Below are 23,478 nucleotides of genomic sequence, written 5' to 3' on the forward strand. Positions count from 1 at the left end.
GCACTCCAGCCTGGGTGACAGAGCAAGACTCTATCTAAAAAAAAAAAAAAAAAAAAATCCATAGAAGTATATGCAGAAAGAATGAATTTTAGTGTAAACTATGAACTCTAGTTAATAATGCACCTATATTGATTCATTAATTATTACAAATATATCACAGTGATGCAAGATGCAAATACTAGGGGAAGCTGAGTGGGGCACAGGGAATGTATGGGAAATCTCTGTAGTAGCTGCTCAATCTTTCTGTCAATCTAAAACTGTTCTAAAAAGTAAAGTGTCTCTCTATATATAAATTGAGTGCTAGCATCAACAAAATGCAAATTTAAACTATCATAAGCTACTATTAGACTGCATTTAAATAGCTGAAATGACAAAAATTGACAATATCAAGTTTTGCCAAGGATGTAGAGCAAATGGAAATCTCCTATATTGCCAACAGGAATGTAAACTGGAACAAACACTTGAGACAACAATTTGGCAGTTTCTTTTTTTTTTTTTTTTTTTGAGACGGAGTCTCTCTCTGTTGCCCAGGCCGGAGTGCAGTGGCGCAATCTCGGCTCACTGCAACCTCCGCCTCATGGGTTCATGCCATTCTCCTGCCTCAGCCTCCCGAGTAGCTGGGACTACAGGCACCCGCCATCACGCTTAGCTAATTTTTTGTATTTTTAGTAGAGACGGGGTTTCACCGTGCCAGCCAGGATGGTCTTGATCTCCTGACCTTGTGATCCACCCACCTCGGCCTCCCAAAGTGCTGGGATTACAGGCATGAGCCACCACGCCCAGCCAGCAGTTTCTTTTGAAGTTAAACATACATACACCATATAATCCAGAAATTCTACTCCTACATATTTACTTAACAAAAATGAAAATATATATCCACACTAAGACTTGTACACAAGTATTATCAACAAATCCACTGAAAAGGATCTTCCTTAAAAAAGAGAATGATTTTATTCCTGTAAGCAGTTTGCAAACCAGGGAGACCCAGCCTTCAGTACAAAACAAAGATGCTCTCCCTGAGAACAGAGAGACAGGTTATCCTTTATAGAAAAAGCTCCCACCCAGATTCCCACTCTGGTCTGCTCTGCAAGTGAGAGGGATGCAAGTATGTTTGGTTTTGATTGGTCAATGCAAGTCACAAGTCTATTTGTTAGATCCAGAAGTCAAGATGAGACTTCCCAGCACCCATCAAATCAGGGAGCATAAATAGGAGCAGACAGCCATGAAAGTCCCCAAATCACGCGAGCCTGTGGTTTCTCAGAGAATGCAGAAGACGTTTGTGACCTGGCTCCATTCTGAATTTAGACCCAGTTAGCCACTCAGGATCCATTTGGAAGGATTGGCTCTTTCAGGTTCATGAAGTGTTCATGGCAGCTTTATTTACAGTAGCCAGAAACTGGGTTCTATCCCAGTTACCTTTAGTGACTTTCAGTCATACTCAGCTTCACTGAACAGTACCCCTGAACTGGCCCTTTAAGAAAAGGAAGGCGTCTTCTGCTCACGAGGTCGGAGGGAGTCCAGAAGGGCAGGGGGTGTCCACTGGAGCTGGGGGTGCTTTGTAGGAGGCAGATGCTGATGAGGAGAATGTAAGGCTTCAGAATATGTAGGAAAATGGGAGTTGTACCTCTTTGTAGTTTGTTGGATAGTGGCTTTGTATTAGTTTCTTGAGGCTGTGATAACAAAGTACCACAGACTTCAACAGCAGCAGTATGTCCTCGCACAGTTCTGGGGGCTGGAAGTCAGAGATCAAGGTATCAGCAGGGTTGGTTCCTTCTGAGGCTGTGAGGGACAGGTCTGTTCCCGGCCTCTTACCCTGGCTTGTAGATGGTCATCCTCATGTCCACACAGTGTTCTACCTATATGAGTGTCTGCCTCTTTATCTAAATCTCCCTTTTTATGGGGACATCAGTCATTCTGGGTTGGGGCCCACCCTAATGACCACATTTGAACTTGATTACCCCTGTAAAGACCCTATCTCCAGATAAGCTCATGTTTTGAGGTGCTGGGAGACAAGACATCAACATGGGAATTTAGGGGGATACAATCCAACCCATAACAGGCTTGAGCCTTTTTCTTTCTGTGATTATGTGGACCACAGTCCCAGATAGCAGCTACTGGTCCCAGATCATGTACAAGTGGTCCCAGCATTGTGAAGGACCTGAGGATGTCTGGGCTACCTTGGCTTTGAATAACCAGCCCAGGAGCTGTGTGAGAGCCTGTCCTGCCCCTTTAGAATACTGAAGTTTGAATTGGATCCCCTAGCTAAAATGTTGGCATTTTAATAGTTACAGAGAAAAGAAAGGAACCTTAGCTCTTCTGTTGAGGGTTTATTCTGCCTGATGCTTTCGAAATAAGTTTGTTATTTTGGCAACACTAATGAGGTAGGTGTTATCCCCTTCCTGCAGCTTAGGATTAAAAAGCTCAGTGGGACTAGGTAGCCTTCGTCCACACTGCCTAAGCTGTTATTCAAGTACAGGTAGTAAGAGGGATTTGAACATAGGCCTTTCTGACTCCAGCATCCGTGTTCTTTTCATAACCATGAGCTATTTCATTTTCTAAAAAGTGTTCAGTTGAAACAAATGCAGAAATTATTCCTCTCAATGTATGTAATAGATCTGTGTTTATCTGATCTAATCCAGGATATATCCTCTGAACAGAAAAGTTAGAAAAGACGGCATTAGAAAAGACATGCAGACAACTCAAAAAACTATGAAACTTTATGGGGAAAATGTGTTATCACCTGATCTATATCTTAAAATGGTGAGAATTCATGGCATCCACCTGTCAAGATAAAGGAGCAAAGGAACCACGCTCCAAGTTTTGGGAAGAAAATAGCACATGGTGGCGACTGGGGGTGACATGAGACCCCACTCCCCATCAGGAATCTCAGGCAGCCCCTCCCTTCTTGGATATGAACAACTGAAGTTTTCTCAATCATTTATTTTATTTTTTAACTGATTAATAATAATTATACATATCCCTGGGCACCTAGTGACATTTCTATACCTATAAGGTATAGTGATCAGATCAGGGTAACTGGCATGCCCGTCATCTCAAACACTGACCACTTCTTTTAAAGTGTAGCCTGGAGCTCCCCACTGTGGATCCAATGGCTGCCACAACCACTTTGCAGAACCAGGTCGCTGAAAGGCAGCTTGACAAAAAGACTAAGATGAGCCAAGTGTACTGCAACATGGCACAGGAACCATTGATCAAATGCTGTAACTTGGTGTCATGACAACGGACAATGATGTCGAGTGGAGTGCTGGATCTCTTATCACCACTGTATCACACTGATTTAATCACACTAATCTAAGCTTCTTGAAGGGGAAAGAGAAAAGCTTTGTAGTAGCTCCCCTTCCTGGTGCTGTTCAGAAACAACAATGGTGCAGGCCACACCTCACAACGAAGGGGGCTCGGCTGGCTGGGCACAGTGCTAAATGAGCCGCAGGTCAAGAGGTCACTCCTGCAGCCAGGCCGACCTTTAGCCACACTCTGGTCCAGGCGACAGATGGGGCCCTAGCCTCAGTCCCCTTTCATCTCACATATGGGGAGTTCTTGGCCACAAGAGGACCAATTCAAAATAATATCCAGTGACTTGGTGAATAAACTCTTCCACTGGAGATGGTATTGCATTGTTGGATGTATCTTGAACTACAAAGCTTGCTTGGGGAGATTTGTATAAATTGAAGATCATTTGATTGGTTTTCATTCAAGTCCCTGCTTTCAAGTGCCTCCTGTATGTTTTTCAGTGGAACACAAGAACCCGAATTCAGTCCTTCACCTATTTCTACTGGTGTTGAAATCTATAAAGACATAAAATCTACTTGCTTAGCCAATGAGCCTTACAGAGTGTCTAGTTGCTCTGATTTAATATATCAGTGTATCGGGAAACTTTAATCCTGAGTGCAGGCTGTTGGCATATGGATTCCATGCTGGTGGTAGGTTTGGACTACCTCAGAAAAGAAATGGGCACATGCCTTCTTGTAAATATTTTGTCTTTGTAAATATTTTCTTTGTATTCATGGGTTCAAGATGCCCAGGAAACGTATGTGAAGCCCAGATGTCACAGGAATTTTCCTGGTCTGCTTTAAGGAAGTCCTTAAGCATCACACCTGCCAGTTCAAATACTATTTGAGCCCTGTGCATTTTTGAGAAATGATGTATAAGTAGAAAAATTATACAAGAAACATGGAAAAATCAACAGGACTATTTAAATGTTATACAGAACTTATGAACAGTTCAAACTAAATATTTTGCTATTAAAATTATTCAAGAATCATAGAAATCTGGAAATAAACACTTCATAAATAACGTTTTCAAATATCGCGTCAGGAAAAATTAGACAAAACCAGTTAAGGAGGGAAGTTACATTGAAAAAGACTGAGTTCTACTATCCCCTAAGTTTTGCAAAAATATTTTTAACTTACTTTCTAAAAGTTAGTGAGTTTCCATTATAAAATAGAAAAATTGTCTTCATTCCATGAAAGAACTGTCTGAAAATCAGAAAAGCACCATATCCTGGATTTCAAGGAAGATGAAACTTCTTCTTATCTTCTATTTTACTAAATACTCAAAATAAAATAATCATATTGTATTGAATCTGACATTGTTAAGGAAAATAGCTTAAAATTTTTAAATAATGAGCAATATATTTAATTTTAAAATACGAAGAATTAGGCTAAGGTGGTAATTTTTTAGTGAGTTGAAAGTCCAAACTATGAGTTCGGAAGAAACAGCCCTAAAAGGCAAATAACATGGCTTTGGAATAATCACAGGGCAAATGCTTTGTTCTACATAATTCTTCTTTTGTGAATTTTAAAATGCTCAACAAGTATTAATGAAATATGTCTAAGAAGTAGATATTGCTTTAAAATCTAATTTCCAGAGTCCCGAACTAAGGCAAAGATTGAGATTAAGTCTCCGCCCAAAGTCTTAAGTGAGCCAGTGGAAGATGGCAGTTTATTCATGAATTGTTGGTTATCTGCTGCTTAACTACTTAACACAACCCGGTTTGATTGGTAATCAGATCCTAATAATGTATGTTTCAAAGAAAGGGCAGTTTCCTTAAAATCCTTAAAGACTTGTCACTTTGAAAACTGGAATCAAAATGTGAAAATGTTATCGGTCCATCTGGCAGTGTCCTTGGGTGTTTTTTAGAGTGGTCTCATAGTGCTATTTAACTATGCTGAATATTTGACACCCAGTCTCTGTAGGAAATTGTGATTTTTATCAGCGAAGAGGCAATTAAATGCTGTCATTTGGCACGTCCATCCATCAGGGATCTTATCACCCAAGAAGCATCCAGCAGCAGTTGCTGTCCTTTCCAGCTGGCAGACAGATAACAGAAACTGTCCTGTGTGAGGCACAATAGTCTAACATGATTAGAAATCAGCCAAACTCTGGCTTCTCTTGAGCTATACTCCCCCACAGGCTGAATTATAGCTCTCCTACCAGTCCCACGGCGCTGAATGATGTCATGGGATCTGCAGTTCAGCGAGATGAAAGGGATAAAGCAGAACCCGCTGGCACTAGGAAAAGCTTCCAACACACAGTCCACAACACAGCTTGGGAACCAAAAAAGCTACAGATCCAGCCACTCAGCCCAAGCATGGGAGAACTACCAGCATTGCCTCATTGCAAAAAAGAGGAGGAAAACAACGTGATCCATGTTTAACAAAAGAGTCTGTGGACTAGGAGGTGGGAGGGTAACTACCTGCTGAAAGTGAACTTTCTTTGATATCCATGCATATATATAAACTCAGCCCTGCCTTTGATGTTCAGCAACTGATTCACTGATCAGATTACAGGCATTTCATCTCCCTGCTCGTCTGCCTTTGATCTGCATGGTTAATTTTATTTTCCTGGATTTGAAGTTTCGTCTGGGCTTGTGCTGACATACATTTTTGGGAAGGTAGAAGCATTTGGCACAGAAGTGCTGCCAGGAGAAACTAAGTTGCTGAACGGGTAAGTACTGCAAAGAGCTCAGCATGTTGCAGGTACTCTGTTTTAAGCTTTGTTATAGCTTTCACTGCATTTTTCGCATGTGTTCTGAGAAAAGAATGGTTTTAATTAATTTTTTAGAAAGCATTTATACAGCTGAATACTACATGATGCTGAATGTGTGTATCAGAGTAACTATGGAACTTGATGTAATTTTTAGTAGTTTGTACAAGAGGGTTTGCAGTCTGTCATACAAATTTTACTTGGAAATGAGTTGTACAAACAGGACAAAACAGAACAGCGCTCACTTTAGCATGCAACTGGTACTTCAACCCCTGAGATCTGTGAGCTATAATTGCTCTAAGTATTTACAGGTTACCTTATTTAGTAAACAGTCAGTGCAACTTTGCTTGTTGAAAATGCTTTCTTTGTTTTCTTATATAAAAGAGTAAAATGTATCTCTGGCAATACTGTTTCTTTAGTTTATTTATTCTCTCACTTCCAAGATGTAAATCTATCAAATACACTTCCTTATGCAGTTTGTACACTCAAGGGAATCACTGAAAAACCATCAAGTATGATTAAAGACTTTTATGTGTAAAACTGAAGAATTTAAAAACAGTGAGGATAAAGTTGCACTAAGTTTGGCTAAAAATACTCCAGTGATTTTCTATAACCTTTGGAAATAGCATAAGCCTTATTTACAGAAACATTCACAAGGTTAATATTCCTAAATTAACATTTACTTTACATTTATAGTGACAGCTGTTTTAAGTCAAAATTTGCCAACTGTTTATGAAAACTATCTGAGTAATCAACAGTTATTATGTTACATAAAGTATCTTAGTCACATTTTCACTTTAGCTAATGCCCAACATGACAAAACCAAATTATATTGCTGTACCGAATTTGAAAGTTAACTGTTATTTTTTTGTCAGTTCATGATACACACACACTCACGCTCACACACACACACAGTAAAATCTTTACAGTGAAATATAAAAACTAAATACAATGGAAAAGTAACACTGTTACTTTGTTCGCGATGTTTTTTTTTTTAATGTTCTAGTCCTAAATTTATCTGGGCAAAATATTTAATTATTATCACAAGTCTATTTGATGCTAGCTGAACCATAAAGAAACCATAAGTGATAAGACCAGTTATCCTTTAGTCTGAAATTCTGATGAAACAGGAAAGGTCTAATGAGTCTCATTTCATAAGTAATTAATTTTTCACAGCCAATTAATTAAATTACTTTCTACACTTTCCTCTTGATACTAGAAGGGTAATTAGCATTGTTTATTTAATTTTAAAACTTTGCTAGTTGTTAAGTGGAGGTTATTTAAAGCCATGCTAAACTGATTATATTTTTAAAGTGTGTCATTAATAACTTAATCTTAAAGATTTAACTGCTGTTTTTAGTCATGCCAGGAGAGGCATTTGCTTTTTTTTTCTAAGAGTACAACAAATCATGTTCACAATATCCTGCAATATCGGTTTAGTTTGATTTTTTTTTAATTTGTTTGCTTAAAATCTTCCTTTTAATCACAAAAGTGGTATTAATGTTCACATTCAGATAAAGAAAATTAGCCTTTTAAAACAATGACTGGAGATGGTGCCTAAAGAAATAGTGTGTCTGAAACTTGCTCATTTAGTTCAGATTTGGATTTTAAAATTTTTAAAATGACTGTTTATCCTGCTACTAGGATCATTTTAACAAATACAGGCTCTCCTCAGCACAAAACAAAGGGGAGAATTAGCAATTATCTGATTAATTTAGGCTTTGTAGAAAACTAGCTTGGGCAAGTCAAGTCCTTGAAAATCCACTTCAGTGTTTGAATTAATTCAGTTAATTGTTTACTTCTAGTGTCATTGTTGAGAAATGAAATAGAGTGTATTTGATTTTAAAATAAAGATGGTTGTATCTGAAGGTACAGGTACAGTCTCAAAAGGCATTTCCTAATTAATTGCCACAAAATGACTTTGGCAGATATAGTCCTATTACTTCTACTGAACAAAACCCTTATGTGACATTTTTCAAAGCACTTTCCTATCTGTTGCTTCAATGGCAGCTTTGTTACTACAGAAAGTCCAAGTCTTCAAAAGACTTTTATGTTGAGTCCTGATACTGTCACCAATTAGCTATATGACCTCAAGAGAGTTTCCTCATGTGTGAAGTGAGGGAGTTGATCACATCATCTTTATGAAATAAGCAGAATTGGAATTTTTATGGCCATTTTACAGATGAGGAAACTGAGGCTATAGAAAACGAATGTCCCTATCTTAACAAGGTCACATGGCTGATTTTCCCAGTTCTAGTCCAATGTTCTTTCCAGTCTACCATGCAGGGTCTGCTTTCCAACAACTGCTTAAACAAATGCACTCTGTAGCTCATCAAAGAACAATATTAGTTTGAAAAATAAAGACAGCCACTTCCTATTGTAGTGCATTTTTTTTTTGTTTCCATGATAGATATGTCAGTCAGCTGGATTCGTCTGATTATTTTCCAACTGTTCCTTCTACTTCTGGACTTCTAAGCTGTCTAAACACAGTAGCTGCTACCCATAATTTAACATAATTTAACACGTAAAATAATTTTCACAAAAAGTTTAATGCATCAATGTGATGTGGAATTATATATGTATTTGTGTGTTTGCCTCTGTGTGTGTGTGTACATACGAGTTTGGCATTATATCAACACATATTTGTGTGTTTTGAAGGAATTGATATTTTCTTAGATGATGCCAGTGGCATCCAAAAACAGTTTAATAATTAAAGGTTAATTTTCCTCCAGGGAAATTCCCAGTGGGATTCTGTGAAACTTCAGTTGACAAACTCAATGTGCATTTCAAACATGATATGATATGTGTTTCATATCATGTTTGATTATGTTAAGACTCTTGAGCATGTTTTCATTATCTCTTTGCTTTTCTTCCTTGAAAAAATATATCTTGGGGCCAGGAGCGGTGGCTCACGCCTGTAATCCCAGCACTTTGGGAGGCCGAGGCAGACGGATCACGAGGTCAGGAGATCGAGACCATCCTGGCTAACATGGTGAAACCCCATCTCTACTAAAAATACAAAAAATTAGCCGGACAAGGTGGCAGGCGCCTGTAGTCCCAGCTACTTGGGAGGCTGAGGCAGAAAAATGGTGTGAACCCGGGAGGCAGAGCTTTCAGTGAGCCGAGATGGCGCCACTGCACTCCAGCCTGGGTGACAGAGTGAGACTCTGTCTCAAAAAAAAAAAAAAAAAAAATCTATCTATCTATATCTTGTGTGAAAAATTTTAATTTAGTTACTAATAAAATTTTATACAAATACAGGACTCTCATGGCCAAACAACTGCCCTCATAATAGGGCTTATCACCCTCTTTAGGATTCCTACATATACAAGATTATTACTAACATGACCTAATATTTATTAATTCACTCATTATCAATTAATTCAATATCAAGTACTTGTGCAAGGATAAATAACATGTGCAAGATTATAGGAATAATTCAGTGGCAGCATTGTGATCTACATTTTTTTTGTTCTGGGGCTAGGTGATTCATTCTTTTTAAGAATTACACAAAGCTGAACTTGACTGTCAGCAAACATTATAGCCAAAATTTTGGCCAAAAATATGGGCTCCAGTTTTTTTTTTTCCTTTTATATATTTTGTAAGAACTATTAGACATTTTTAATAGTATTTTCTGTCAGGATGGCCATAAAGGACCTCCCTAAGCCATGAAGGCATAATCTGTTCTCCCTCTGCTTCAGGAGTGAACTGAACTCAACCATCTGGCATTGGTTTAGTCGGATTCTCTTTCTGTGATGGCAAGGCCAGTCCAAGCCACCCTGGAAGAATGAGTGATTTTGTCCCCTTTAAAGGATGGTTCTTTAAAACGTTGTCCACCTGGGTGAGCTCTGTGATGGGAGGGCAGAGGGAGGCTCCCTGGTGGCTGTGTTGGCTGTGCTTTAATTTCTCCTCTACTGTCACTAGTCATTCAGCTTTGGCTCCAAAGTTGTTACCTCAAACCCACCCACTTGCCAAAATCAATACTCACTTCTTTAGATTAAGTAGGTAGTTTAAAACCCTCCTTTGTGACTTAAATTTTCTCTTTGATGAGAAGGGGAAGGAGAAGTCATGTGGGGGTTTCCAATGACTTCATAAAACCATTCCTTCCAACATAACCCACTGTCTTTGAGAGGAGTTCTGATAAAGATAGTTTTCTCCATCCTGTTAAATGCCCCCCATTCTTTGGTGGCTCTATAGCTTAGCACCATGGGCTGCTGCCCAGCCAGCCTGGCCTCAAGCCAGCCCTAGGTCGGGGAGTCCACCATGTTCATCAGGAAGGAGAGAAGGAGAGTCAATGGACTGTCTCTTCCCTCATCGAACTCATGAAAAGGGTCTAGCCAATGAGGTACTCAGGGCCAAACTCACAAAGATCAGTGCAAGTGCTGCAACTTGTAACAACTTTGCTCTGTAAGTGTCTTGAGCTCCACTTACAGGAGGGGGCTATAAAAATAGCCTCCTTGGGTTTTTCATATATATTGGTTTACGCACCCATGGTATGGTGAAGATTATGTTAAGATACAGAAAGCCCAGATTCTGATTCCAGCTTTGTTAATTAACTTGGTGTGCAGCATTCAGGAAGTCACTGGGCATTGGCCTCACGGTGCTCCCTCAGCCCCATGCTGATAGTCTATAATTGGCAGTAGTGGGTATCGGGAATTACTTAAATAGCTAGGTCTTGGGGGTTCCTCCTCCACTTATTTTCTTAACTGTATTTGGAAAACTTTATTACTCTTTGAGATTCTCACTCTCAATTACTAATTCATCCAACAAATTTTTAATGAGAACTTACTATGTGCCAGAAACTGTAAACCAAAGAGACAAAATTTCATATTCTCCTGTAGCTTGCATTCTATTCCACTTTTTTCCCAAGGAATAGTGATTTACACTAGAAATGACTAGAAGTTAGGCAATTTTTCATTAGCTTTGCTACCAGCGAGCTAATTTATCACTGAAACTATTCTTTCAGGGGTTTTTCAAGTTTTCCTTAGTTCAACTTTTGGGGAAAAATATTTTAAACAAATGCACTTTGTGTCAGCTCAGATATTGCTAAAACTATCTTCAGAAAACTAACTTTTAACATAAATCTTAAAAACAAACACCTCTATCAAGATTGTCATAGCAATTTTGCTTTTCCAGTAAAAATTTTAACCCATTAATGATATGCAGTGTTTTAAAGGAAGTAAAATGCTCCCAGTCCTAATTACAAGCATCCAGTTTCATTTTGCATGAGCCTAAGGATCACAGAATTCTTTTTTTTTTTTTTTGAGACCGAGTCTTGCTCTGTCCCCCAGGCTGGAGTGCAGTGGCGTGATTTTGGCTCACTGCAACCTCTGCCTCCCGGGTTCAAATAATTCTCCTGCCTCAGCCTCCCTAGTAGCTGGGATTACAGGCACCTGCCACCATGCCTGGCTAATTTTTGTATTTTTACAGAGACGAGGTTTCGCCATGTTAGCCAGGCTGGTCTCAAACTCCTGACCTCAGGTGATCCGCCTGCCTCGGCCTCCCAAAGTGCCTGGATTACAAGCGTGAGCCACTGCACCCGGCCCACAGAACTCTTTTTATACTACTATGGTGCTCAATTGTGTGCCTGAGTTTTTGTTCAGACACTGTCTCCAAATCATACAACACTCAAATGAGGGAAAGTGGGAACTATAGTGTTTGTTCCCTCAGCATCTGAGGGGGACTGCTTTCAGGACACCCTCTTGGATACCAAAATCTGCAAATGCTCAAGTCCCTTACAAAAAATGGTATAAATTTGCATATGCTCTGAATCATCTCTGTATTACTTATAATATCTAATACAATGTCAATGCTGTGTACATAGTTGTTATACCATATTGTTTAGGGAATAATGACAAAATAAAGTGTACATGTTCAGTACAGACACAACCATTCATTTTTTTTCAAATATTTTCAATCTGCAGTTGGTTGAAGCCATGATGTAAAATCCATGGATGTGGAGGGCCAACTGTGTTTAACTTAATGAGTCTCTTTAAAGAATTAGATGAATCTAACAGCTGGAGTCCAGAGGTTCAATGTCCTTTTTCTCACCGTCAATGATCATTTATTGATTGATGCTAGGCATTGTAAGAGGATATATTGCTACTAAGAATGGCTATTTAGTAAGTGCTAGGCATTGGCCTAAGCACTTTAAATACCTTATCTATTAATACTTACCAACCATCAATGAAGCAACTCATTTTACATATGGAGAACCAGAAACTTAGAGAGGTTAAGTAACTTTTCCAAAGTCATGCAACTACTGAATGACAGGTTGGCATTGGGACCAGATTGTCAGATGCCCAAGCCCATTCAGGCTAACAATAGGTTCTCTCTCTGTTGTAAGCTAACAGGCTAACCGGGAAGATCAGTCAAAACACGTAAAATGATTCAAGAACTAATGAACTGAGTAATGTGTTACTACTGTCTCTAAGGACAAAAGGAGGTCAGAGAGAAGAAGAACATTTGGTTGAAGTCAGAGAAGGTAGTTCCTGAGCTGGCAGATTCAATTCCACTCAGAAAGCTTTGGTTGAACATTTATTTGAATGATTGATACTGTCAGAGATACAAATCGGAACAAAATATGCCCCTTCTCTGAAAGTGTTTTTAACTCCTTGAAGAAGAAAGTTAGTACACAGAATCTTATGATACAGGACACAATGGGCAAGTGCTAAATTGCCACAAACCTTGGAGCAAGGAAATACATAGGCTCAGAATTGAGGGAAAACTCGTGAGAGCCGTGGCTTTTGAGCGAGGTGCTGAAACTGGAGTAAGACAAGTAGGTAAAGCTCAGAGGTAAGATGGGAGAGCACGAAGAGGAAGTAGAGAGCAAAGGAAGGGCCACGCGGCGCAGTTTATAAAGCCTGCTCCAGAGGCGAGGCAAGGCTGGAAATAGGTGTAGGGCTGCACCTGGACATCTCGGAATGCTAATCTAAGGAGCGCAGAATCCATTCTTTACAGTGAGGAACCTCCTGTGACTCTTCAGCCTGACAGTAGCAGTGATGAAAGGCGGGAAGCGGGGTTGATGACCGAGGCAGTGCTGTGGTGAGGGGTGGGGAGGGTCTGCATGGTGGTGAAGGAGGTGGTGGGCACCAAGACAAAGAGAGGACGATGGGGGACTGCGTGAGACCTTGCAAAGGAAGATGCAGTAACTCAGCTTAGAAGTGCTGAGTATCCATCGTGTGCTAGGCCCCGGGATATCAAGGAATTAGGAGATGCCCTCGGGAGATCCAGGTGTAGCTGGGGAAGGAAACAGATAAAGAAGTTCAGCGGGATGTGGGAATGAATATGGTAGTGATGTGCACTGAGGGCTGGAGTCTGATCGGGTAGCCGCTGGGAGATGGGACAGGGAAGCACACACTTGCCTTGAGGTTCAAATTAGATAACGTACATCATTTGGAAATCGTTTACCAATAAGTCGTTATTGGGATCTATATTCTGGATGTGTTAGATTTGAAATATACAACCTCTATCAAGGTGTGACATCGGGAATAATATTTTTAACATTGTTCACAAGTACCTAGTATAGTGCTACGCCGTTGGAAGCCTGGGATCACAAGCTGTGCTTTTGGGCAATTAAATACAACAACCTATTCACTCATTCATTCAACAAATACTGATGGAGGGGCTCCAGTGGGCCTTGGGGTATAGACAAGAAACAGGGACTTGGGTCCATCCACACAGTGCAGTTGAGTGGGAAGTCAAAACCAACACGTGAGAAACGGTGGATGCCTTGGTACCAAAGTCATGCACCGTATCTTGGGTGAACGAATAGAACAATACTGCTTGCACTTTTACAGCATTCTACTGGTGGAAAAGTATTTTACAGACGCGATTCTCTTAACCCTTTCAGCAAAACTGCCCAGTGAGTCCCCGGCCCTGGCCCCGCCTCGCACGCGCTGGTGCTACAGCTGTGGTGCAGACGCCCTTCCGCTGCGAGGGTGCGGCCGTCTCGGGGCGAGTGCTTCCCGGCCTGCAGGAGGCGAACTCGGGCTTCCCCGGGAGGCGTCCGTGGGAACGCGCACCTGCGAGTCCCTGCCGGCTGAGGAGCCGAGGTCTGCGACCTCTGCCGACCTGAGCTCAGGCGCAGCAGCGCAGACCTGGCCGCCGTATCCCCTCTGGCTGGGATGCGGGCCCACGCGGGAAAGGCTGAAAGGTGGGGAACACCCCGGCGGAAAGGAACCCTCCCTCTCTGCTCTGAAGGAAAGTTTCCCAACACAGCCATGTTCTTGGTGGTCTCCGGTCCCCCATCCCCAAGCCCCCAGTCAGCCTCACACTCATCCGCTTCAGTAGCCGCGGAGTGGGGGCCTCCAAAGAACCCAGCTGCAGAGCAAGTCCGGCTGACGCAGTGTGCGCTGGGGGCGGGGCTCTGGACGGGGGCGGAGCCACGGCGAGAGCCGCGGTGAGGGCGGGGCCCGGGTGGGCGGTGCCCTGAGCGGGGCTCCTAGTGGGCGGGGCTCTGGGGTGGCGGCCGTTGCCGGGCTACGGGAGAGCGCGGAGCCCTGCGCTGGGAGGTGCACGGTGTGCACGCTGGACTGGACCCCCATGCAACCCCGCGCCCTGCGCCTTAACCAGGACTGCTCCGCGCGCCCCTGAGCCTCGGGCTCCGGCCCGGACCTGCAGCCTCCCAGGTGGCTGGGAAGGTAGGTGCGTCGCTGTCCCCGGCGCGCGGCGTCCCGCGAGGTCTTCAGCCCTCGCCCTGGTGGATCCCCGCTGGGTGGGAGCCGGGAGTGGAGGCGGCCGCCCTAGGGAGGGAGGAGCGCAGGCGGGGGCTGCTCACGGGCGGAGTACTGCGCGGCGAAGGGAACCCCCGAAGGGGCTGACCGGGTCTCGGGGCCGTGACAGGCGGCGAGGCGGTGGGAGGGGAGCGTGTGAATTCACGCCGGGTCCCCGCGGGCGACGCGAGCGACGCGACCTGGACTCCTATCCGGGATATTGTAAATAGATCTGCTTGTGAGGCTCACGACTGGGAGCCTGTCACTCTGCCCAAGCCCGACCCGGCCCCGGCGCCCGCCCGCGTCCTGCGGAGGTCCCCTGAGCCAGCGCGCGGCTGCAGGGGTCTCGGGGCCGCATCCCGGACCAGCGCCAGCGGCGGGAGAGCGTTGTCTGTGAGCGGCCCAGGGTATATTCCTTCTGTGGGAAAGAGTTCCTTAGAGTTCAGCAGGAATTATTAGTATATTGATGAGTAGAGCCTGTGATAGATTTAGAGAGTGAGAAAGCCAGCTCTTACAATGCGTGTAATGCCATCTCATGGGACAGAAATTTGGCTAATATACTCCTGGAGATCAAGTTTGGCGGATCAAAATTCTGTGATCTGTTTTGATGGTAGTGCACTAGTCATCCAGTCTCCGTTCACTATTGTAAGAAACCCATGTCATTTGTTTGCATGTTAATAAAGGACTCAATATGCATACAAAATCATCACCATTGTTCAGTGTTTCTTTTAACTGAAACAGTTTAACCCAAGATATGTATGAAGACGTAGTTTTTACCCCATGACAGTTTCTTTGACTACAAAACCAAACAATTTCTTTATGTAAACAGGAAACAGTTATTGTTAAACATACCTCATGCAAACGATATTTCTTAGTGTTGTCATTTCATGATCAGATATTAGATGCAAAAGGGAGGATTACATTGCGTTACTTCAGGATTTACTCAGTACCTTTTCTGTGGTGCAGTTTCACCTTAGGCGTTTTTGCCAACACTGCTTTCATGTAGTCTTAAAAATTCCAGGCAGTGCTTATTATCTAATTGAAAGGTATAGAACTGGAGGGGTGAGAATTGAGTCCTAGTGTGGAAGACAATTTTTGACATTCACAGAGATGTGAGTACTTAAAAAGAAAGCTTCTTTGCATAACACTTATCAAATTGTTCTGAAAGTAAAACAAAACATAGAAATGCATTTTCATTTGCACAATATAGCCTTGGCATCAATGCATGAAGCATTATCATGAGCTCTGTTCTTTACTTTTTAATCTATGAAAATGTCTTACCATATCTACTTTATTACCAAAGCCACATGGCTTTACTGACTTTAGGAAACTTTTTTCCATAGTAAGTGCTAACTCTGAGAGGTGGTGTTAGTATTTTCAGAGCAATCATAAAAGTTATTTGTTTCTTTGGCCGGAGTGTGTCTTGCAACTCTGAGTCCAGGCTGGATCTTGAATATGCAGTTATGGACACATGAAGAGCATTATGCACTGGAAATTGCAATGTCGATGTGCCTTTTCTTTTTTTCTTTTCTTTTTTTTTTTTTGAAACGGAGTCTCGCTCTGTCACCCAGGCTGGAGTGCAGTGGCGCTCTGCGCACTGCAAGCTCCCGCTCTGCGCACTGCAAGCTCCACTTCCCGGGTTCACGCCATTCTCCTGCCTCAGCCTCCCGAGTAGCTGGGACTACAGGCGCCCGCCACCACACCCGGCTAATTTTTTTGTATTTTTAGTAGAGACAGGGTTTCACCGTGTTAGCCAGGATGGTCTCAATCTCCTGACCGCGTGATCCGCCTGCCTCGACCTCCCAAAGTGCTGGGATTACAGGCCTGAGCCACCGCGCCCGGCCGTCGATGTGCCTTTTCTATCCAGAAGACTGAATAAGGAACATTGCTCACATGTAAAAGTAGCTGTAAAAGAGATTTTTTAAAGGGACAGAACTTTTTTTTTTAACTTCAGATGATAATAGGCTTTTTACATATATTTTATAATGGAAAATGGATTGCGACATGTAATGTCATATGCTGTCCTTAATATATTAATTTCCTAGTTACAGCTCTGTTACATGAATTTAGGGCATATTGGGGACTTTTTAAACATAAGTAAGGAATTCTGCTAACATTCATAAAAAGAATTTGAGTCTCTTTTTTCACCTATTGCAATCTCTGAACCTGTGCTTAACTCAATCCCCTGTGGCCAATTCTACCCCTGAAAAATTAACACGATTCAAACAAAAACTCCAGGCATCTTTAGTAGGTGAAAAAAGCCAAAGCCCTTTTAAAACTGATGCATCAATATTTAAAATCAAGCATTAAAAAGTCTGAAAAAGGCCAACATGTTCTATTTGTGTTGACTACAGATTGAATAGGAATGCCCACTTGAATAAAACACACTCCCAATAAATACATTGATAGCTGCCTATGTGATAAGAGAGCCAGGGAACAGTTAAACGGTTAAATATATTTGTCCTGTGGCAGCTGATTATTAAATATTCACAGGCTTGGCCGGGCACGGTGGCTCACGCCTGTAATCCCAGCACTTTGGGAGGCCGAGGCGGGCGGATCAGGTGGTCAGGAGATCAAGACCATCCTGGCTAACATGGTGAAACCCCGTCCCTACTACAAATACAAAAAAAAAAAAAAAAAAAAAAAAAAATTAGCCGGGCGTGGTGGCGGGCGCCTGTAGTCCCAGCTACTCGGGAGGCTGAGGCAGGAGAATGGCGTGAACCCGGGAGGCGGAGCTTGCAGTGAGCTGAGATCGTGCCACTGCACTCCAGCCTGGGCAACAGTGCGAGACTCCGTCTCAAAAAAAAAAATAATAATAAAGATTTGGGATAATGCATATGTGAATTACCCCGATTTGATCATTACACATTGTATACATATATTAAAATATCACTGTCTCCGATAAATATTACAATTATTACATGTCAACTGAAATTCAACAAAACTAACACCCTTAGTGAGATTGATTCGCATATAGTAAGTGGCATATATTTAAATTTATAATTAGGTAAGTTTTGACATACTGTGAAACTGCCAACACAATCCTGATGGTGAACACATAAAACACACCCAAAAGTTTCCTTACAACTCGTTGTAATCCCTTTCTTCCATATTTCCTTGCCCTCTTCAAGCCCCTGACAACCTCTGATCTGCTTTGTCATTATGTATTAGTTCGCATTTTCTAGAATTTCATATAAATGTAATCGTATAGTATGTCATTCTGGGAGGAGGGGTCTGGCTTCTTTCACTCACAATAATTATTTTGAGTTTCATCCACATTATTACAGGTATCAAAAGTTAAATCATTTTTATTGCTCACTAGTATTCCATTGCATGCACCATAACTTGTTTATTTCTTGACTTGTTTATGGACACATGGTTGTTTTCAGTTTTTAGCTATTATATATAAAACTGCTATGAACATTCATGTGCAACTTTTTGTATGAAAGTTTACTTTCCAAAATATTGGGAGAAGAATATCTAGGTGTTATTAAAGGTGTGTGCTTAACATTTTAAGAAATGTCCAAATTGTTTTCCAAAGTGTTTGTTACACTTTCATTTCTAGTAACAGTGTATGGGAGTTCGAATTCTCCAAATCTTCACCAACAATGGTGTGACCAGATGTTGTATTTTAGACATTCAAATAAGTAGGCCATAATAGTTCATTGTGGATTTAATTTTCATCACTCCAGTGGCTAAAAATGTTGGACCAAAAAAAAATGATAAAGTAACCCTCTAGGTGAAGAAAAAGAAAATTAAAGTGGGTATGAACATAATTTTTTTTCATGATTTAGTGATTGAGTAGTGAGTTCTTGGTATTTTATGTGTCTAAAATGTTTACATTTAAAAGTAAGATGTTTAAACAGTATTGGGTTATCTTCTAGTCCACATGTCACATAATATGTACCTTTATTTACCTTTTAAACTGAAGTTTTAAAACCTGGGTTTTAAAAAGAGAACAACTACCCATCAGCAATTACAGAAGACAAAGGAACTTGTGTGTCTGAAGACTGAGTGTTATTTAGCAGCTCTTTGGTCAGCTTGGATTGGTCACATATGTGGAAACTGGGAAATAATAGGGGCTACTTACACTGGAGAAGAACACTACAAATGGTGTAAAGAGTGGTTTTGGAATGTATCCAGACTTCCTTCTAAAATAAAAATTTAAACAGCTGTGTTTGAGAGATGGGTATGCACAATTCTTGTAAGAAAGACTGTGTAGATGTTTGAGGTCCCCTTAGTCCCTGATGCTACCATTGTTCCATTTGCATTTCAGGGTAGAGAAACATTCATGAATTTTGGGAAAAACACATTAGTTACAGTATGCTTGTTGACTGAACATTTTGAGAATTCTGACAGTGATTTTCCTAATGCAAAGATGATAAAATGTACAACTTAGAGAAATAAAAAGAATTAGTCTCAGAAAACCCTGCACTAGGTTATTTTTTGTTGTTGTTGTTTTTATTTTTATTTATCTATTTTTTCTTTATTTCCATAGGGTTTTGGGGAACAGGTGGTATTTGGTTGCATGAGTTCTTCAGTGGTGATTTGTGAGATTTTGGTGCACCCATCCCCTGAGCAGTATACACTGAACCCGATTTGTAGCCTTTTATCCCTCACCCCCTTCCACCCTTTTCCCCCAAGTCCCCAAAGTCCATTGTATCATTTTTATGCCTTTGCATCCTCATAGCTTAGCTCCCAGTTATGAGTAAGAACATACAATGTTTGGTTTTCCATTCCTGAGTTACTTCACTTCGAATAACAGTCTCCAAACCCATCCAGGTTGCTGTGAATGCCATTGATTCATTCCTTTTTATGGATGAGTAGTATTCCATCATATATATATACCACAGTTTTTTTAGCCACTCACTGATTTATGGGCATTTGGGCTGGTTACATATTTTTGCAACTACGAATTGTGCTGCTATAAAAATGTGTGTGCAAGTATCTCTTTTGTATAATGACTTCTTTTCTCCTGGGTAGATACCCAGTAGTGGGATTGCTGGATCTAGGTTAAGTTTTATTTAAAAAAAAAAAAAAAAAAGCAGCCTAATAGAGGCCCTTACTGTTTTGAACTTTGGGAGAATTGGAGATACTGTATTTGGCAGCAGAAAATTTTTAAGTTTTTAGGGTTTTTAGTAGAAAATACCTTGTAATTTGAAAAAGAGAAACCATTCTCATTTTCCAGCCAATAACAATACGTATATTCTTAGCACACCTTTGTGAGTTCCTAGGCTACAAAGAGATCTGCCAACTCTACTATGTAAGAAGAATGATTTTCAGAATATAGTGAGATTGAAAGCTAAGATACAGAATAGCTAGAAGCCGGGGGTTATTGTTTTGTTTGGAAATAGCATTACTCTAAATTTCTAATTAATGTTTTATTCTCTTTGCATGTGGGACTGGCAGTATTTCTAAGTCATTCGTGATTATGTTGTGCCATTAAAATGTCAAAGGCTGTATTTATAGCATTGGCTTTATTTCAGTGCTGATTTATAAATTGTAAAACTGCCAGTTGAATATCAACATTTTAAAAATGTTTCATCTTATTACATATTAGAAAAATGTATGGGTTGAATATAGTTTCATTACATAGTGTGAATACAGTTTTTTTGATGAAAACTGTTACCAATTGCATGCACTGCATCTGTTGGATAATAAATAGCTTTCAAGAGATAGGAAAAAAACAAAATTAAATAATTTATTCTGAAAAAAAGAGTATCCAGATTATTAGAATTATTACAAAGCACATATGTTTTCGTCATTTACACCATCAAAAATATAAATGATTCTCAGAAAGGTTACTGATTATAATATAATTTTCTTTCTAATTATCACCATTCTTCCTCCTTAGTGATTCTTGTCTGTATTAGAGCACTACCTTCAAGAAATGGGGTTCTGACCTGGATTTGTGCTACCACAGTGACTTGCATTTCAACCTCAGGTTATATTTGCTCATATTTTTCACATATACTATTTTATCCCTTAGAACTCTGAGAAGTAAACTGTTATCCCTAGTTAATGAATTTCTCTCTTCATTTAGCATGCATTGGGCACATATTGTGAGTTACAGTTCTATAGTGAAATCACAGCTCTTGTCATTAAGCCCTCAAATCTTATTTGATTGGTGGTCAACTCCAGTGGCTGGGTTGGTGATAAAATGAGGGAAGGGAGCCCAGTGTGACAGTGGGGAGTGGTGGAGACTAGTGCACTAAAGATATGTCCTTCCGTGTAAGGGACAACTGATCATTAGCTCTAGCTCATATTGCTTTGATGTGGGACTCAGGGCCGTCAGATTGTCTAATTTTTCGAGAACATTTTTCATTTTTAATACTGAAAGCAAATTTTAAAGATTTAAGTGCTGCAGTGACTAAAGAAAATAAATGTAGCCGGGCGCGGTGGCTCACGCCTGTAATCCCAGCACTTTGAGAGGCCGAGGCGGGCGGATCACAAGGTCAGGAGATCGAGACCACGGCGAAACCCCGTCTCTACTAAAAATACAAAAAATTATCCGGGCGCAGTGGCGGGCACCTGTAGTCCCAGCTACTCCGGAGGCTGAGGTAGGAGAATGGTGTGAACCTGGGAGGCGGAGCTTGCAGGGAGCTGAGATCACACTACTGCACTCCAGCCTGGGTGACAGAGCGAGACTCCGTCTCAAAAAAAAAAAAAAAAAAAGAAAAGACATGCTGACCAGATGCAACAAAAAGGCTAGAAAGAGAGAGGAGTAACAAGGTAATTATAGCAGTGAGTGGAAGTCCAGGGTGCTGTGGAAGCAGAAAGAAGAGATGCTGATGCAGATTTAAGGGGATTCCAGAAGACCTGTGACAGACTGGGGGCAGGCATTGTAGAGGAAGGGACAGTTGAGGGACCTGCTGGTGGAAGCAGTCACTGTGGTTTGAGATCCAGAGGTCCGCCCAGCCAATCAGAGATGAAGCCCAGAGCTGCCCTTCCCCGGCAGTGCTCCCCTGTCTCGGCGTGGTGACACGCTAGCACTGGTGTTCATGATTTTGGGCAAGAAGGCACAAGGGGTGTGCATTATAACACCTATTGGATTTATCTTAGTTAGAGGGAGGCCAATTAGGACACATCCGTGTTAGTTACCATTCACTCAAATGAGCAGGCTGAGCAGCTTTGAGAAGCAGCCACTCTGTGTGCAGCTGAACAGCATGTTTCCCCGCTCTGCACTTGGGGTTTGTGTCCCTTCTTCTTTGCATGCTCCTGATACTGCCAAGCTGCGTATTGTTGTTGAATAGCAGATAGTGAGGCCGACATTTCATGCTTGTGGAATACGGTAAACCAGGCATCATTAGTCTTCTCCCTAGTGCTTATGTGGAGGACATGTACAGAGAAACAGTTTCTCTGTACATGTCCTCCAAGAAATGCATGCTAGACTGTTACAGATGCTGTGGAGACTGGAGGTTTTGGCAAACGGTAAAAACCCCAGCATCCAGACCCATGGTACATAATCTCAGTTATTTGTATGGCTTGTGCTTGCTAAATCATCTCCAAGTAAATAGAACACTGAAGCATATAAAAGCATTTTTCTATCTTTGGGCCAGACCTTGAATGTCCAGAATTTAAAAATAATTTTAATAAATAACCTTTTGATTGCCTTATTTTTATTTTAAATATTATTACTTAAACGCTTAAGCTATTTCATTAAATTTTCCTTCTTTTTCTGAATGCCAAATAATTTCTTAAGGAATTTCATTCCACTCCAGGAAATTCAAGGTCACACTTATAACCCTCCACCAGCTAAATTGTTTATTTCTAAAATACTCCTAGGCCAGGCTATGTCAAAAGGTGTTTTGGAGATCACTACCTTGGCCAAGCTGTGAGCTCCCTTGAAGGAACAAGTTGTAGTGTCTTCTAGCCTAGTCCTGCCTCCTTTCAGGCACCTAATGACCGTTTAACCAATGTTTGTTGAATAAATAAATACATGATTAAATGTATTATTGCATTATGTGTCTCTCATCAGTTTTGTTGAGGTAGCCATGCTGTCCTGAATGGCAGGAGTCACTGGATGCTGGTGATGGGTTAGGACACAACCCTAGGTCAGCATGGCGGGATGCTGAGGAGCCCTGTTATGGAGTTGCCAGGCATGAATTGGATTTGATTTCCACTGGTTCTCGTATTTGTTTCCTTGGACCTTCAGTTTTCTCTTCCATTATATGGGGATAAATGTCTACTTTAGAGTGTGGTAGAAAGGAGAAAAAGCTATCCTTTTTTAAAGCATTAGCACAGTACTCAACATTATAAACGCTTGGTTCAAACTCTTAGTGGATTCTTAGTCTTCAGATGCCTTCTGCAGGCTCCCAGGTCCTGAGCTGTTGCCACTTGACTGCGGCTGCCTAGATGCCTCCTATTTGTCCGACGGATTACAGTCTTCAAGGACTGTCACATCCTAATGGATCATTTGATCCTCAATAATAATGTCATTAACATGAAGGACAATAGTAGTTGCTAACAATTCTATAGCACTTATTATGTGCCAGAAACGGTTTACATCAGCTAATTCTCCTGAAAGTGCTTTACAGCTGTTAGACTCATTCCTCACAGCAATTTCAGGAGGTAGGTACTATCATTCTGCCCCATTTAGAGATGAGGAAACTGAGACTCAGGGTTAAGTAACTTATTCCAGGTTGCACAGCTCATAAGTAGTGGTCTCAATAACAACAGCAGCAGTAACAGCATCAGCAACTGCTCCGGGCGCTGGGCTCAGCACTTTGTGTTAGCCCAGTTAGTCCTCACAATGCCC

At 41.3% G+C, this 23,478-nt stretch overlaps 1 protein-coding gene across 10 annotated transcripts in view, besides 7 other annotated features; it reads left to right on the plus strand.

The window, feature by feature from the left end:
• Positions 2,942 to 3,454: an enhancer, noted in NCBI's record as "H3K4me1 hESC enhancer chr13:24141962-24142474 (GRCh37/hg19 assembly coordinates)". NCBI's record gives its function as "activates a minimal SCP1, AML or CMV promoter by ChIP-STARR-seq in naive H9 embryonic stem cells {active_cell/tissue: H9 hESC(naive)}" and the evidence as "EXISTENCE:reporter gene assay evidence [ECO:0000049][PMID:30033119]".
• Positions 3,455 to 3,966: an enhancer, noted in NCBI's record as "H3K4me1 hESC enhancer chr13:24142475-24142986 (GRCh37/hg19 assembly coordinates)". NCBI's record gives its function as "activates a minimal SCP1, AML or CMV promoter by ChIP-STARR-seq in naive H9 embryonic stem cells {active_cell/tissue: H9 hESC(naive)}" and the evidence as "EXISTENCE:reporter gene assay evidence [ECO:0000049][PMID:30033119]".
• Positions 5,531 to 23,478, plus strand: part of TNFRSF19 (TNF receptor superfamily member 19) — a 105,682-nt gene continuing 87,734 nt past the window's right edge. For 3 of the 10 annotated variants that reach the window (NM_148957.4, XM_005266446.3, NM_001204459.2), the window contains exon 1: positions 5,531 to 5,967. The gene's annotated coding sequence lies outside the window, so the exon portion shown is untranslated. Of the gene's footprint in view, positions 5,968 to 14,478; positions 14,649 to 20,574; positions 20,665 to 23,478 lie in introns of those variants that run through there. The other 7 variants (NM_001204458.3, NM_001354985.2, NM_018647.5 and 4 more) reach the window with 3 other exon arrangements.
• Positions 9,330 to 9,499: an enhancer, noted in NCBI's record as "experimental_32734 CRE fragment used in MPRA reporter constructs". NCBI's record gives its function as "activates a minimal promoter by MPRAs in K562 erythroleukemia cells, with activity observed for both the introgressed and non-introgressed 13:24148435 variant alleles {active_cell/tissue: K562}" and the evidence as "EXISTENCE:reporter gene assay evidence [ECO:0000049][PMID:34662402]".
• Positions 9,970 to 10,119: an enhancer, noted in NCBI's record as "active region_7459". NCBI's record gives its function as "activates an Ori minimal core promoter by ATAC-STARR-seq in GM12878 lymphoblastoid cells {active_cell/tissue: GM12878}" and the evidence as "EXISTENCE:reporter gene assay evidence [ECO:0000049][PMID:35858748]".
• Positions 14,360 to 14,839: a silencer, noted in NCBI's record as "silent region_5174". NCBI's record gives its function as "represses an Ori minimal core promoter by ATAC-STARR-seq in GM12878 lymphoblastoid cells {active_cell/tissue: GM12878}" and the evidence as "EXISTENCE:reporter gene assay evidence [ECO:0000049][PMID:35858748]".
• Positions 15,040 to 15,099: a silencer, noted in NCBI's record as "silent region_5175". NCBI's record gives its function as "represses an Ori minimal core promoter by ATAC-STARR-seq in GM12878 lymphoblastoid cells {active_cell/tissue: GM12878}" and the evidence as "EXISTENCE:reporter gene assay evidence [ECO:0000049][PMID:35858748]".
• Positions 22,394 to 22,563: an enhancer, noted in NCBI's record as "experimental_32745 CRE fragment used in MPRA reporter constructs". NCBI's record gives its function as "activates a minimal promoter by MPRAs in K562 erythroleukemia cells, with activity observed for both the introgressed and non-introgressed 13:24161499 variant alleles {active_cell/tissue: K562}" and the evidence as "EXISTENCE:reporter gene assay evidence [ECO:0000049][PMID:34662402]".

This window comes from Homo sapiens, chromosome 13 (assembly GCF_000001405.40).
Source record: "Homo sapiens chromosome 13, GRCh38.p14 Primary Assembly".
In the NCBI taxonomy this organism is placed as follows: Eukaryota; Metazoa; Chordata; class Mammalia; order Primates; family Hominidae; genus Homo; species Homo sapiens.